The sequence below is a fragment of the Homo sapiens genome, chromosome 5 (genome assembly GCF_000001405.40).
Source record: "Homo sapiens chromosome 5, GRCh38.p14 Primary Assembly".
Classification (NCBI taxonomy): domain Eukaryota; kingdom Metazoa; phylum Chordata; class Mammalia; order Primates; family Hominidae; genus Homo; species Homo sapiens.
The window spans coordinates 45,393,129-45,410,295 of record NC_000005.10 but is presented as its reverse complement, the minus strand read 5'-3'; the positions used below and the strand labels follow the sequence as shown (position 1 = coordinate 45,410,295).

At 33.6% G+C, this 17,167-nt stretch overlaps 1 protein-coding gene across 1 annotated transcript in view, besides 1 other annotated feature; it reads left to right on the top strand.

Moving 5' to 3' along the window:
- HCN1 (hyperpolarization activated cyclic nucleotide gated potassium channel 1) overlaps positions 1 to 17,167 on the top strand; it is a 441,433-nt gene that overhangs the window by 286,085 nt on the left and 138,181 nt on the right. The window contains exon 4 of the mRNA NM_021072.4: positions 13,586 to 13,804. Coding sequence (NP_066550.2) covers positions 13,586 to 13,804 — 219 coding nt within the window. The remainder of the gene's footprint in view (positions 1 to 13,585; positions 13,805 to 17,167) is intronic.
- Positions 10,881 to 11,401: an enhancer, noted in NCBI's record as "NANOG hESC enhancer chr5:45398997-45399517 (GRCh37/hg19 assembly coordinates)". NCBI's record gives its function as "activates a minimal SCP1, AML or CMV promoter by ChIP-STARR-seq in primed H9 embryonic stem cells {active_cell/tissue: H9 hESC(primed)}" and the evidence as "EXISTENCE:reporter gene assay evidence [ECO:0000049][PMID:30033119]".

Sequence of the window (17,167 nt, the reverse complement as noted above, 5' to 3'; positions counted from 1 at the left end):
TCAGCAGCCTAGAGATCCAGTAGAGAGATACTGCTACCTATCATGACCCAATAGGCTACTGAATGAAACTCTGAACTTTATCCACATCAGTAAATGAAGATAATAAAGACTGTTCTTGCTACCACAAGGCTCTTGTGATAATCACCATGTCTATTAAGTTCCTTGTAAGAGATCTATGCAAACTGTACTCATGTTTCTGCTATTGTTAGTTGTGCTATGGTCAGTATTATGATTATGCAAATATAATGAAAATAATACTTGCAAGCACATCAGACATGAGTTTGTATTTTTTGTTTGTTTTGTTTTTGTTTTGTTTTTTAATTCTTAGACAAACCAGATCAGACCTTGGGCAAGTAACTTAATGTTTTCCATGACCTTAAGATGTATTGTTCCTTACATACTAGATTTGAATAAAGTTGGGTAATCTGAATATATTTAATTATTTGTTTATTTATGTATTTTGATCTTATAATCATGGAGATTCTGAAATTCAGTGTACTTATAAAAAGGATAAATTGTTATACAGATCCCTTACAATTCCAACTTTCTATGAATTGATGGATAAAAGTCAGTCTACCATAAAAATATTTAATGTGCCACTATTTTATTTTATTGTACTATCCTTTCTTATGTCTGGTAGTGGGAACCCCAACCCAGTAGTAAATCTAGGTAGAAGAAAAAAATCAGAGATGTTTGCACCATGTCATCAAAATTGCGTGGACATGTTAAGTGTTAAGGGTAAATTCTACCATTACTAAGATGGAATTTTAGAATCTGTAAAGGTGAGAGCATGATTTTTGAGATAATGGGAAAGCTCTTTTTAACCTCAATATAAATAACCAATTACTACGTAAGCTGCTTATCAGCATACACATTTCCTTTCTCTATAGTTTAAGTTTGTCTATATTTTAGTTATGCCCATCTCTAAGCATTAGATTTTAATAAATTTTTCATGATTTATGTATTTGCAAAGAGGTTAGAATTGTTACTCATAGCAAAACGTGCTATGAACATATTTTTCCATTAAAACACACACATCGGTAAGAAATTTATCCCCTCATTTACAAAACTCTTTCAGTTGGAAAACAGAAAGCTTATTATTTATTAGCTCTTTTATATAGAGCTTGTTAATATAGCAGCCTTTTATATAGTCTCTTGTTTAATTATCATAAAAAGTCCAAATTCTTTCCACATTGTACCATCTATCATATAAATTGAAATATATGCAAATTATCTAGAAATAAAATCTAATGCCTTACTCTCATATATGGTAAAAGAATTCCATATACAAAACTGCATATTTAATAAATTTTATGATCTGATAACCGACATAAACACCCAAAGACTACACATATGATTAAAGACATTCTTAACTCTTCTGCTTCTTTAATGCATTAGGCAGCTACTTTGTTTATAAAGAGCAGAAACTTGAGCCCAGCACAAAAATATATACAACGTTTTTTGTTTTCACTTTAATTTCACTTTGTTAGTAGTTTTTAACACTCCAGTGTGCTCAAACCTCAAAATAGCAGCATTAAACACTTCAAGAATGCCATAAAAGAGATGATCTACTAATTTGAGAATGATCATTGTAAAGCTGCTTGGTGAAAGTTCATAAAATTAATTTAAACGTGCACATTAATAGTACTTAGCAATGTAATGTCATGCCTGTCATTAGAAAGATGAAGAAACACTCTGAGAAGTATATCCTTAGGCAATATTATCATTGTGAAAACATCATAGATGGTACTTACACAAACCTAGACGATATAGCCTACTACACACCTAGGCTATATGGTATGGCCTATTGCTCCTAGGCAGCAAACCTCTACAGCATGTTGACTGTACTGAATACTGTAGGCATTGGTAACACAGTAAGTATTGGTGTATCTAAACATAGAAAAGGTATAATAAAAATACAGTATAAAAAATAAAAGGGTATAACAGTGTGAAAGATAAAAGATGGTACATCGTGAATAGAGCTTGCATGACTGAAAGCTGCTCTGGGTGAGTCAGGGAGTAGTAAGGCAACGTGAAGGCCTAGGACATTACTGTACACTACTGTAGACTTTATAAACACTGTATACTTAGGCTACACTAAATTTATTTTTAAGATTTTCTTTAATAATAAATTAACCTTAGTTTATTCTAACTTTTTTACTTTATAATGTTTTTATTTTTATGTTTTTGACTTTTTTTGTAGTAACACTTAGCTTAAGACACAAGCACATTGTACAACTGTATAAAAATATTTTCTTTCCCTGTACTTATATTCTATATGATTTTTTTCTATTTGATTTTTTCTTTACTTTTAAAACTTTTGGTTAAAAACTAAGACACAAGCACACACATAAGCCTAGGCTTACACAGGGTCAGGATCATCAGTATCACTGTCTTCTACCACCACACCTTGTCCCACTGGAATGTCTTCAGGAGCAGTAGCATGCAAAATGTTGTCAACTCCTATGATAAAAATGCCTCTTCTGGGCCGGGCATGGTGGCTCACGCTTGTAATCTCAGCACTTTAGGAGGCTGAGGCAGGTAGATCACCTGAGGTCAGGAGTTCGAGACCAGTGGTAAAACACCATCTCTACTAAAAATACAAAAAGTTAGCCAGGCATGCTGGTGGGTGCCTGTAATCCCAGCTACTTGGGAGGCTGAGGCAGGAGACTCACATGAGCCAGGTAGGCGGAGGTTGCAGTGAGCCAAGATCGCGCCACTGCACTCCAGCCTGTGGAACGAGAGTGAGACTCTGTCTAAAAAAATAAAAATAAAAAGCCTCTCTGCGATGCCTCCTGAAGAACATACCTGAGGTTGTTTTACAAGTAGCTTTATTTTTGTATAAGTTGAAAGAATACAGTAACAATAAAAAGGTAGTATACTAAATACATAAACTCGTGACATAGTTGTTTATTATCATTTTCAAGTATTATATACCATACATAATCATATATGCTATACTTTTATATGACTGGTAGTGGAGTAGGTTTGTTTACACCACATTGCCACAAGCAGATGAGTGACGCATTGTGCTATGACATTATGATAGCTACAGGATCACTAGGAGATAGGAATTTTTCTGCTCCATTATCATCTTCTTATAGAACCACTGCTGAATGTACGGTCCATCATTAACTGAAACATCATTATGTGGTGCATGATTGTACTTATTTTACTTTGTCCAGGTGTTGAGTGAAAGCACATCACTCAGTGTTTCAGATTGAACCTGTCACCCTGTGCCATCTGCACCTTTCATACTCTGGAGTGCTGAGCCTCGGGCAAGGATTTTCTTCTAGAGGACTGTTCCTATCAGATAACTGTATAGATTGCTTGATCCCAGGCTTTGGGGTTAGGTGGAAAGAAGAATTCATTAAAAGTTTTTGACTAATAGGAAAGTATAAAACTAAAGTACAATTTTAAGGTCAAACTATCTTCACTGACCTCACACTCTCCAGGAAATTTTACCTCAGCGTTTTTCTCTAATGAAAACCTTAGATAATTTTTCTCTAAATGTCCTTAAGGTATAATAGAGGCTCTCTTTTGGTGGTTGAGAAGAAACATAGTTTAAAGAATTTCTCTGTTATGGTTATGTTCTTAAAATGCCTGAAAATCCTATGTATAATTATCATGAATTTTATTCATATAAAAGTATAATTATCATGAATTTTACTCATATAAACGGTTATGACATAAATGGCTATGGTCTTTGGAATGAAGAGAGTTTATAGTGTGGTTCAGACAGATCTGTGATTGAATTCCAGATTTGGCACCTACAAGTGTGTGAACTAAAGCAAGTTATTTAATTTTTCCAACGTTTGCATTTCCAATCCATAATAACAATATCAAGTTAGGTTTCACTGTTAAGAAGAGCAATGAGATGATGTTATAATAGTACCTTGCAGTAAATAAGTCCTCAGTGTATGCTGATTTCTTCTATGCTGGCTTTATATTAATGCATATATGCTTGCATACACATAAAATATATTCACTAATACTTATATATAAACATATGTAAAATATGTTTGCTTATATTTATTTATGTTAACAAAGAGGTACCCCATAGAAATATTTGATTTACTTGAAAAGCTAATTGTAATTGAAACATCACACTTACAGTATTTAAGTAATGTCAAATTTGGGGCCTGTTTTATAAATAGTACCAATGAACTCTTAGTATAAAAAATTGGATGAATGAACAAGTCAAATTTAAAATAATGCATTGATTTGTTTAATTTTTATTTTTAAAATAATGTACCAATATCAAAAAAATAAGAAAAAATCTGTGATATCAAGCATCACTAAATTTTAATTTATAAGTCTATTTAATGCAAATTTTGTATTTTATCATCATTCTTGAAGCAAGAAAAAGTACACTTAGAACTTGAGTGATTAATTGACCATGGAACAAGTTGAGAATGAACTCTCAAAATAATCAGACATCACTCTTCATGGCAACAGCAATTTAGTTATGCAATACTTCTATATTTTACTGTTAAAAACTGTTTAAACCCTCTTATAAGGCAAAAGGTTGTTATCAGAGGTACAAACGTTTTTTACGCAGATCATAGCACTAAATATAAGAAAAATACGCCGGGCAAAGTGTCTTATGCCTATAATCCCAGCACTTTGGGAGGCAGAGCCACGAAGATTGCTTCAAGCCAGGAGTTTGAAACCAGCTTCAGCAACATAGCAAGACCTTATCTCTATAAAAATTTTAAACATAAGCTGGTCATGTTGGTGCACGTGTATAGTCCTAGCTACTCAGGAGGTTGAAGCAGGAGGGTCACTTGAGCCTAGAAGTTCCAGCTGCAGTGAACTATAGTTGTGCCAATGTACTCCAGCCTAGGGAAGAGAGCAAGACCCTGTCTCGAAATAATTAATTAATTGATTAATTAAGTCAAAAGTCATTCTATGCCCAGGGTTGGCATCCTTAACGCCTGCATTGTTCAAAGACCAACTGTTTACAGATAATAAAATTATGGTGTATTCAAGTAAACACACTCTTTTTGACACTGATGACCTGTTATACTTCTTATGACTGCAAATGAATTATGCTACACTATATTCTTTTCCTTAAGAACTTTTAAATGCAACTTTCTATCTGATTGGCATTTCCAAAATTGATAAAAATGATATGTTTATGCAATGACTGCAGGAAAAAAATAGACATGCTGATCAACATTCTGTAGCCTAGCTCTAAAGAATTTATACTCTACTCATGGCTTTCTAATTTCACCTCTTTATTATCCATTAATTCTTCAATATTTTAGCAGTTGGTTTGTGCACTTCAGAGTCTCTGAGTGCCATATTTTAGATTTTCCTAAGATTTTACCTACTTCAACACGTTTATACTTGTATTTGCTTGCAAATAATAAAGAAAAATTAATTCTGATATTCAATAATGGAAAGTTTTGGCCCCCTAAATTAAATAAATTTCAGCTCATGTGAAAGCTAGTGGACTGGAGAGCTTTTGTTCCCATGGCAGGCTACTGAGTGGCTAAGTTTGAATTGGATATATTATGTCAGGAGGTCTAGGACACTGGAGAATAAATATTCCTTTTTCTTTCTTTTTCCTTTTTTTTTTTTTTTTTTTTTTTTTTTTGCAAATAGCCCTTCATCCTGACTCCCTAAATTTAGTAACAATATGGACAGGATGACTAGAAAGTATTTTCATTCAAGCCTATAGAAAGCTCAAAATGCATTATTACTAAGAGAAAGTTCTCAGGTGGAATAAGCAAAGGTACTTACTATGTTCCCATTAATTTGACTCAATATCTTTTCCTCAAAAAAAAAAAAATTATTTTCAGTGATGCCTAAGTGAAGTGATTAACTAAATGAACACTTTTAATAACAAAAACATAATCTAAAAGGAACAATTTGTTGGTACATTGTTACCTAAAATGAAAACAAGATAAACCTCAGTTGAAACAGTTCCCTTATATTTTATTTGCTTATTGTCTGTGGGATTCAGATTATATGAAACTGGGTATATTTGGACTGTATGGTAAAACACTTTGAGTATACAGTCTCCCATTCGCATATAATATCATATTAGTAATGTACACTAAAATATAATACAGTCATCTTTACAAGGTGAAAAAGGAATAGCCATGTAACACAAGAAAAAAGGCAGAATGGGATTACAAACATTCCTAGATTTTCACAAAACTTTCTCAGATGATAGCCTAAATCTCCCATTCAAGCCATCATTCAATGGTAGTAGATTAAAATAAGGCAAACAGGATGCCCGAAGTGGGGCAAAAAAACCTATGACTTTTGTAGGCTTATAAAAATGAGAGCAGTGTAATGTAATAATACTGTGGTCCTTAGAAGGAGACTGCATGGGTTGAAAACACTGAATCTTCCACTTACAAAATTTTAACCCTGGGCAAGTCGCTTAGGTTCTCTGCTTCAGTGTCATTATTTGTCAAATGATGGTAAGAATAGTACTCATGATTAAACTAGTTTAACATAATAATTGGTGCTTTGAACAGTTTAGAACCATGTACCTGATTTATAATATACTGCTTATAAGGATAACATTTTGTGTGTGTTTTATCACAGTCAATCTATTTTTTCTCCTTGAGCCCTGATATGGTTTGGCTGTGTCCCCACCAAAATCTCATCTTGAATTGTAGTTCTCATAATCCCCACATGCTGTGAGAGGAACCCGGTGGGAGGTGATTGAATCATGGTGGGGGAGTTATCCCCATGCTGCTGTTCTCATGATAGTGAGTGAGTTCTCACTAGATCTGATGGTTTTATAAGGGACCTTTTTCCCTTTTGCTTGGCATTTCTCTTTCCTGCCACCCTGTGAAGAAAGGCGTGTTTGCTTCCCCTTCTGCCATGGTTATGTTTCCTGAGGCATCCCCGGCCATGCTGAACTGAGTCAATTAAACCACTTTCCTTTATAAATTACCTAGTCTCAGGTATATCTTTATTAGCAGCCTGAGAATGGACTAATACAAGCCCTTTGTTCCTGGGATTTTAATGATATGTAGGTATGATGGAGGAGGGGTTAGGATGTCATTCCTCTACTTGGAATTCTTTCAACACCAGCCTCAGAATCTGCTACTTAAATGCTCACTTTCCTTTGTTATGGTTCACTTGGCCCTTGCAAACACAAGCAATGTGTGTAGACAAAATTCAGTGTCTAAAGAAAGCAATATTGGCCTTGTAGAGTAACAGAGAAGATCCTTATGCCTAATCATTCACTCTTCATGAAGAATAGCCTAAGGACCAGATACAGTGGCTTATGCCTGTAGTCTCAGCTACTCAGAAGGCTGATATGGGATTGCTGGAGCCCAGGAATTTGAGGTTACAGCTCAAATTCTATGAGCTATGGTTATGCCACTGGACTCCAGCTTGCATAAAAGAGTGAGACAAAAGAAAGAAAAGAAAAGGAGGGAGGGAGGGAGGGAAGGAAGTAGAGGAAGGAAGGAAGGAAGGAAGGAAGGAAGGAAGGAAGGAAGGAAGGAAGGAGGAAAGAAAGGAAAGAAAGGAAAGGAAAGGAAGAAAGAAGGAAAGAAAGAGGAAGGGGGAGAGAGAGAGAGAAAGCCTATATTTCATTAATCCTTCTGAATTTTCCATGAATCCCTAATATTCTACATTCTGTAGATACTGTCTTCTCAAAATTGTTATTGTTGTTGCTTTATACTTTTATATTATTTAAGTTCTCATTTCACTTCTCATAAACTTGTAATAACATTTATACTGACTTCTGTATTTGGTCCTTATTACATCCTTCCTCTACCTCAGGATTTTTCAGCCTCACCACAGCTAATATTTTGGACCTCCCAATTTTTTGTTGTGAGGCAGGAGAGGGAGTCTCCTCTGAACTGCAGAATTTTTAACAGCATCACTGGCCTCTACCCTTTAGATATTAATAGCACCTCTGCCAGTTGTGAAAACTAAAATGTCTGCTGATGTTGTATGTTGCCATGTCTCCTAAGTGGTAAAATCATCCTTAGTTAAGAACCAGCACTCTGCAATTCTGCCTGATCAATCTTCCTAAAATACGGTTTAGATCATATCATTCTCTGCTCACAAGTTTTCATTGGCTTCCCGTTTTGTACTGAAAATGTTTAAGGACTCAGACTCTGGTCATCACTGTGTTGCCTGGTATGTTCCCTATTCTGTCATATTTCTGGTATGCTCCTCATTCCCTCCTGTTTCTTCTCTACAATTTAGACTGGCTAAAATTTTATATATGTACACACACATACTATGGGGTTTGGTAACTTTTCTCAGCCTCCAAATACTCCTACTCCCCATCAAACTTCGTGTTTTAGATTTTTACCTGCATGACCCATGGTCTTACTCAAATTCCCTCACACAGTAGTTCAGTTTAAACCCCTGTTGGAATTGAGATGGTCCTTGTTTTTTAAACAAGGACCTTGTTTAATTAAACCTTGTTTAATTAAAACTCAGTATAAAAGTGGCTAAACAGAGCAGTGAAACAAAATATTGAGCCCAGACACAAATACCATTTTTATAGAGACAATATATAATAAAAGAGATATATTTCTCTATATGGAGACCTGTTGATTTACTAAAAGTTATATACTGGCACAAAAGACATTCCATTAATTTAGAATAAAGAAAATGTGAACTTTTCTATATCCAAAAAAAAAAAAAACCTTTCTCTAGGTAATACGTGTAAGTATAAGTAAATATAAAAAATAAAATAATCTGAAAAAACATTCAGGACATAGGAATAATCTTATTTAGAGATAGCTTTTTAATCATTATGAGAAATCCAGCAGCTGCCAAGGAACTTACAGATTTAATTTTCCTACATAAACTAATTGAAATATTTATATGAGTAATTATATGATTAGAAGGTCAATAGGCAAATGATAAATTAGGAATAAATATTTATAGCACATATCAGTTAAAGGGGTGATACCCAGTCTTCAAGGAGGCATTGCAAATTAATAAGGAAAAAAAAATTTCATTAGAGATGAGCAAGCCCATTTGGTAAATAAATACATGAACGCCTTCTCAAATTCCTTGGCTAGGGAAATGCTAATAAAAATAACAATGGGTTATTATTTCTCACTCTATAAGGTGATACAGTATATTTTTACACATTGGAAAAGGTACTGCCTTTTAAATCAATCTGGCAATATATTTTAAAATCAAACTGAAAATCTTACTCTTTGAACCAACAATCACACTCTTGGGAGTGTTACTGACAGAAAGAAAAGATATATGGATAAAGTTTTTAATTAAAGAATAGTTTGTAGTGGCAAAAGCTGGAGAACAATGGAAAAAATGACTGAATTAACTATGGTGTGATCAACAAACTATTACATAGTTATGTGAACAACAGATTATTTGGAGGCATTTTATATGTGATAACAACAATAAGAGCATATATAATAGGATTCATTTTTGTGGGAAAAAAAGCCAGAATCATGGATTTGTGTATGTGCATGTGTGTGTGATTATATGAACATGGAGAAAGGCACAGAATGATCCATACCTGATTTTGGGGAAATGTAGGTAGAGAAAGAGGAATGGAAACATGTGAAGAATGGAAAATAGAAAAGTTGCTAATGATTTTAAAAATAAGAAAGCATTCTTAGGCTGGGCACAGTGGCTCATGCCTGTAATCCCAGCACTTTAGGAGGCCAAGGCAGGTGGATCGCCTGAGGTGATGGAATTTGAGTTCGAGGAGTTCGAGACCAGTACGACCAACATGGTGAAACCCCGTCTCTACTAAAAATGCAAAATTAGCTGGGCATGGTGGTACTAATCCCAGCTACTCGGGAGGCTGAGGCAAAAGAATCACTTGAACCCAGGAGGCAGAGGTTGCAGTGAGTTGAGATTGCACCATTGCACTCCAGCCTGGGCAACAAGAGCGAAACTCCATCTCAAAAAAAAAAAAAAAAAAAAAGCATTTTTAATATATATTTATTTCAAGTCATTTAAGAGCATGTATACACAGGTGTGTGTTTTGTGTCTCTAGTGAAATAAATGAGAATAGACATAGCTGTATTATTCTGAAAAACTGAATTAAACTTTCTTTTCCAGCTCCATACCCTGCCTCCATTCATACAAAAAGAAATAAACAATACCAATAGAAATAAAGTGTAGTCTCCACTCGACACCCCATTGAACTTTTTATTATTTCCATTTTATCTAAATACCTCAAGATGCTTTAACAATATACCTTGTCTGTACCCTTATGTGGAGAAAGGAAATCTTGAATTAGATTTTACATTTTAGTAAATGTAAATATACCATTTCTTGTTCATGGACCATCTAGAATTTTGGAAATCTTAGATGTATTTCTGAGTATTATACATTTTCACTGATAAAGTAAAGTATAAATTTGCTCATTCTCCAAAATAAGAGTTTTTGCATGAGTTTATTATACTATGTACATATTAAAATATGACATACAACTAATTTTCTTGTGTTAAAATTAAATCTTATTTTTTACTTTTGCGAAAATACATATATAGAGAGGATAATTTAATATGAGCAGGACTTTTATTATAATTAAATAATAGTGAATTTCACTTTAAGAACCTCAATCCTTTCAGCTAAATGGGGCTAGTTATTTTCTTTATTTTTTAGCAACTATGTGCAGTTCCAAGGTTTATAAGACTGGGCTTTTCAATCTTCTGTTTTATTGTTTAAATCTACAAATTTGATGTTGGAAAACCCTATTAACAACAAACAAAACTACCCATATCTATTCAAAATAAAATAGCTTGAAAAGTTTATGATAATTTAAGAGTTAATTTGACAAATGCAGGTTTGGCTTCATTGATATGTGACCTTGAAGTTGCACAGAGCCCCTCACTGTCAAAAGAACCCTGTGCTTGGTTTAATGTTCTGCTCCTGCCATCTTGAAACTCTTAATAATTTTATCTTTGAACTTATGTTTTGTAAGTGAAGTCCACTAGGACAACAGGGTGTGAACATGAGCAGCAGAGCTGCAGGATGGCAGCATCACACACACAGATTCAGGCCTGTAGGCACAGGAGACATGCAATTGGCCTAGCAGCAAGGCAGCATATGCATCACTCAGCAGTCTAGATGCTATGTGTCCCTGATGTGGCCAAACCAGGACTGGTCCCAGATTAGGAGTGACTATCTGTAGCAGCAGGAGAAGCAGCAGCAACAAAGGCAGTCGTGAGAGATGAAAGTGGCTATCCATGCAGGCAGGGAGAACACCCATGGTGAGTAGAGAGCTTGCTCATCAGTCCCAAGGGACCATCCCTGTAGTATCTAAACAGATATTAAATCTCCCACCTAAATTCCAAGACAATACCCATGGCACTCAGGCAGTAAACTTTGTAAATAAATTATTACAAAATAAATGTTTACACATGGGCACGGCAGTAAGCACTTTAGAAAGTCATTAGAATTCCTCAGTGTTTACAATGTCCAGTTTTGAAAGCTGCTGCAAAATTGCACAGCAGATGTCCATAAACTTAGAAATACAAATTAAATTTAAGACTCACATTTGATGGAAAATAACACGATTTTTATATGAAGTTTTAAATTAAACCAATTATTAACAAGGAAGATAATTTTTAAATTAAACTTTCTTTGTAACTAAAAATATAGCAATACAATATATAAACAGGCATTTTAAATTATATGCAAATCTTGAAACTACTTTCAATTTTTTGCACGGCCTTGACAAGTTACAGGAAATATCAGAAGAAACACTAAAACATCCTTGCATACATTTAAATTTAACATTCAATTCAATAAAAGGCAGTATAAGTGACCCTTGTGATGGAATTATTCTGTGTCTTGACTGTGGTAATAAATACATGAACCTACACATGTGACAAAATTGCATAGACATAAATACACACACACACATATAGGCACACAAATGAGTACACTTAAATTACTGAGCTATAAATGAGATGAGTACATTATATCAATGTCAATTTCCTGACTATGAAACTATTCTATAGTTTGCAGCATGTTACCTCTGGGGAAGCTGAGTGAAGAGTACATAGAATCTCTCTCTATTATTTCTTATAACTTGCATGTAAATCTGTAATTACCTAAAAGTAAAAAGTTAAATTAAAAAATAAATTCAGATATAAAAACTAAATTCAATGTGAAATTGGTATGAAACAGATTGGCATGATAAGTTAAATATTTATTGAAAAGTTGTTCTATGAAAATCATCAGCTCCAAATGTACTCAAATATATATTTTTAAATAAATTATCAGAAGTTGACCCTAATCTCACAGCCTATAAAATACTCCTAATAGGTTTAATAACATTTGAATTAATAGAAAGATCATTTTTAAATTTAAAAATATGTAAAATTTAAAATTTAAATTTAAATTTAAAAATAAGTAATCTTCCAATAGCCAAGAGCAACTAATGTCATTTTCAACTAAATCATTGAAAATAAAGTTGTTAATTGTATAAATTTTGATAATCTAAGAAATGAATTTCAGAAAAATAAGCCAGAAAAATTTTATGACCAATCAAAATATCACATTAATACAGTATTATTTATGGTATTACATATAACTATGACATTAAAATATTGATTTTTAAAATTTGTAAGCTTATATTTTTACTCATTTATCACTGTTATCACATTAGGTTTTATAAATAATAAAGTAGTTTTAAAGGAAAAATCTTTATATTTTATTATATTTAATAAGTTTTTTTCCCGCATTTTGAACCAGAGCCCCCTCATTTTCATTTTGCTCTGGCTTTTATAAATTGTGTAATACTTGAATTAGGGAGTTCAATAAAATTTATCCAAAAAATAATTTAAATTTTAACAAAAATTAGATAAGATACATTGGACAGCATTTTTAAAAAATTGAGCTTGCAATTTTTTTTAAATGACATCAGAAGTTACAACTAATAAATAATCTCAGAAGTCAGCATTTCCTATTGTTTTCTCCAGGACATAAGCCAAGATGTTCTTTTGCCTATTTCATTTTATTATTTTATAAAAAGCCAACAAGATTCAGCCGTCTTCAATCCTGACACAAATTACAATATACATCACTTCGAGAGAGGGCTTCAAGGAAGTCTTTCCATTTATCAGACCTGTATTTCCAATATATATTTGTTCAAATTTTTATTTAAGGAAAGTTGTAGTGGTAAGGACTATACAGCTATATCAATATGGATTTTTAAAATCTGAACTTCATGGTTTTGATAAAAATGTTTATACTTTGGCCTGTATGTGTCATACTGTCTGCTGCATTTCATAGCTTGCAAATATATTATTAATACTATTTGACCACATTTCCTTGAAACCTTAAAGCATTCATTCTTGTCATTATTACATGGCATACCATTGTCCCAAAAGGAATTTTAGTTTTAAAAACAGCAAACTTAAAACTGACAAAGCGCATGTAAGTAACAGCAGACTGTTTCCACTTCATCATAGTAAGAAAGATTTGAAAAACATCATTTAATTCACAGTTAGTGAGAAGTACATTTGTAAATGCTCCATTGTAAGGATTTTTCCAGTATTCAGTATTTTATAATGCTTCTGTGTACAGGTCCTACTCACTTTTCATTCTGCCATCCTAATGGCTCAGTCAATTTTCTTTTTATCTTATGTTGCAGAATGATTCTTGGGGAAAGCAGTATTCATACGCACTCTTCAAAGCTATGAGTCACATGCTGTGCATTGGGTATGGAGCCCAAGCCCCAGTCAGCATGTCTGACCTCTGGATTACCATGCTGAGCATGATCGTCGGGGCCACCTGCTATGCCATGTTTGTCGGCCATGCCACCGCTTTAATCCAGTCTCTGGATTCTTCGAGGCGGCAGTATCAAGAGAAGGTAATTTGTTTTATTTATCGCCAATGTCTTTAACCAGCTAACCTGAACCAGTAAATTGAATTGTGTTCAAGATAACTACACCATCTCCTCTATAAAAAAAAAAAAGAGATAAAATGTTTAAAGTAAAAACACACTATCTTCTTTGATATTTTGAGGTTTCTTCAAGATAGTTCTCATATCTTTTGCTTCTCATTTCTCAGTTGAATAATAATCTTTTTAAATGTGACTTTACATCTACAGAAAAAATAGCTATATATTTCAAAATGTAAAAAGCTGATAGAAGATGTTATCATGGCTCATTTTCTATCATATGTCAATAGTTAAAATAAACCCTTCTCTCGTATGTGTTAGAAAAATGTTAGCTGATTAAGTGGAGACAGGCAGCTATTGTGCATGTCCCTCTGTACCCCCCCTCATCTATAATCATAATTTATATTACAATCCATATGCTTAGCTGAGCATATATTACCTGTATATCTAGATAAGTCGCCACACTCTCCAGTCTTAAAACTGGATATAACAACTGCTGTGATGCATTCTTATGCTCAATGTGCTAATTAAAATGATTGCTGCTCTAAACTTTTCTCACAAGAGAGAGAAAAAGTAAATATAGGCAATGATTTATTCATTGGATTTTTTTTTCCCACATGAAGAATTTCTTTGGCTAGGGCTAAATATAGGGTATTGGGACAGTACTAATATTCTTGACCAAACATCAGTAGCTTTCTGACAGATAAATAAGAATATTTTAAATTAATGGAACAATGTGTAATGTAGGGGCTTTGTTGATCCTGACAGAGTCATGCACCTTGCCAAAGAGCGTTTCTGAAAGTAATGATTAAAATGGCTCTAGAATATTTCTCTTGGTGAGTGATAACAGCTTAGTCTCAGAATTGTTTTCAAAACATCCAAAGAAGTTTTCAGTTACTGCTTTATTTACAGAAGTTTTCAACACTATAATCACACAATATGAGAAAGGGAACCTAGATATTTCCCTTGAATATAATTATACTGCCACTAGCTATTACAGTGAGCAAGTTGGCATTTTATTACTGAAGTAATGAAAAGATAAACCACAAAAATTGGTTTGAGGTTCATTTTTAAATAGTCTCCAAATGAATTGGAAAGAACGAAGAACGTAGTAAGGAAGAAGAGACTTTATACAATGCTGAATTTAACTAAGAATTATATACTTAAAGGAATTTGGGCTAATTTTATGGAGATTTAAGATAAGACTACATCACGTTAAATCTGATGTTTCTCTTACACTGTTGCTTTTCTTTCATTTTATGTTGCTTTTAATAAAAATGCCCCTTTCACACTTTTTTTTTTGGTCTGCATCATTGCTATACATTTTCTCAATAAGAAAACAAATGTTTAACTTCCAGGATTGCAGTGATTAGCATTTTATTGCATATTAAATAAGTTCACAAAGTTTATGTTTTTAAATTTCCTGTATTAGCCAAGTTTAACTTGGAAACTCAATGTATTCACTTATGGAATCATAGATATTTGTATGCAAAGATGTTATGATTTTGTAATAATTCAAATCATGAAGTTCTTGATCTTATAAGTGTTTGATAGAGGACAAGAAAACTAGTATAACCCTTTGGTATTTACTGGCATTTGGAACAATGTAATCAGGAACAGCTGATTAAAAGAATATAACTTTTTTTTTTTGAAATGGAGTCTCTGTCACCCAGGCTGGAGTGCAGTGGTGCAATCTCAGCTCACTACAACCTCTACCTTCGGGGTTCAAATGATTCTCTTGCCTCAGTCTCCCAAGTAGTTGGGATTCCAGGCACCTGCCACCACGCCTGACTAATTTTTGTATTAAAAGAATAAATTTTAGGTCTACAAACCAAGTTCTGCCAAGAAGTTTAGTTCTAAAGTTCTGTACTCATTTTTTAGTCAGTGTAATCCAGGATAGGTCTTAAGGACATTATGTTACTTTTTAAAAATTTTACTTTTTATGAAAAGTATATGTTTAAATTTCAATTTAATCTTATAGCATGGCTTTACATAGTGGATGAGTAATGTGCAGCTTCTTTGGTGATTTGCCCTCTTTGAGTTTTGGCTAAATTATTATCTTTTTATTTAGGTAAAATTCTGATAGGAGGCACTCTTGGGCAGGACCCAAAATGGAATGCTGGCCCTCCTATATGGTTCAGATGTAGTCCACAGAGAAGCACTCATGCATCCTTCTCCTAGACAATCTGTTAGCACTCCTCTTCCTTCTCTTCCAAACCAATGAGGAGAGTGTATCTAGCCTTCCTTGACGATAGTCAGACTCCAGCGTTCGCAGACTATTTACATGTTGTCAGATATTATTCAGAGTCCAGATCCATGTCTCCCAACCACATGAGCTTATTTCAAAGATCCTTAAATGAATTTGTTTCAAGTGTTTTCCATATGTCAGGTGTTAGAAAGTAGCCTTTTCACACCCCTATCCCAAAAGAGGTTGTAAAGGGACTCACAGCAGAGGAACTTCTCTCTCAAAAGGAATGTATTCACTAGTTCTATCAGGAAAAATCTCACCTTACCCCCTGATCTCTATATAGAATTGATAAGACTGAAGCCTCCAGGAGTTATGATCCTCAGATCACCATTTACAATTTTTACTTGCATAGAAGACAGCCTCTTACATAAGCAATATTCTGATAACTCTCAGATTTGCAGTTCAATGAGCATAGGACAGATTCAGTCCTTACTTAGCATCTTTTTAGACCATTCTTTATCTCATCTAATCCAAAAGCGTCCTTCACAGACATGTCAGTATTATGCATATATAAAAACAATGCCCTGGTCAAATAAGTTCAGAAATGTTGATTGAAACAATCTTACAGAAGTGTTTTTTAGTGTAAATGTGTGTGCCCTGAAGATTTAACATGCCATCTTTGACCTTCATGCCAAGCCTCCATAGATTTTAAGTTACTAATGTCCAAAGGAATTAACCTATAAAGACAAATTCTCCATGATGACCATTCTTTTATTTTTAAACTGATTTTGAGTGGTCACTTTCTTTTCTAGATATAATTGCACTTCATCTAGCCTTCATGAAATGAAACTCCTTTTGATCACCTTGGTTTTTTATACTACTACATCTTAGTTCATACATTTGGACACTCCTGGGAAGCTGACTATTATTTCTAGTTATGTCGCTGTCTCCAATCAAATAACTATAGTAATAGAAGCTTTATGTGTTCACTTCTTCCTCTGCAATGAGCAAGAATTTTGGCACAATATAAATCATGACTTAAGATTCAGGGATTTGCAACTCACCTTGGTATACTTGATATACATGAAAGACTTTTATTGTGTAAATTAAAATACGAATATCACCAACTTGAATATGACCAAAGA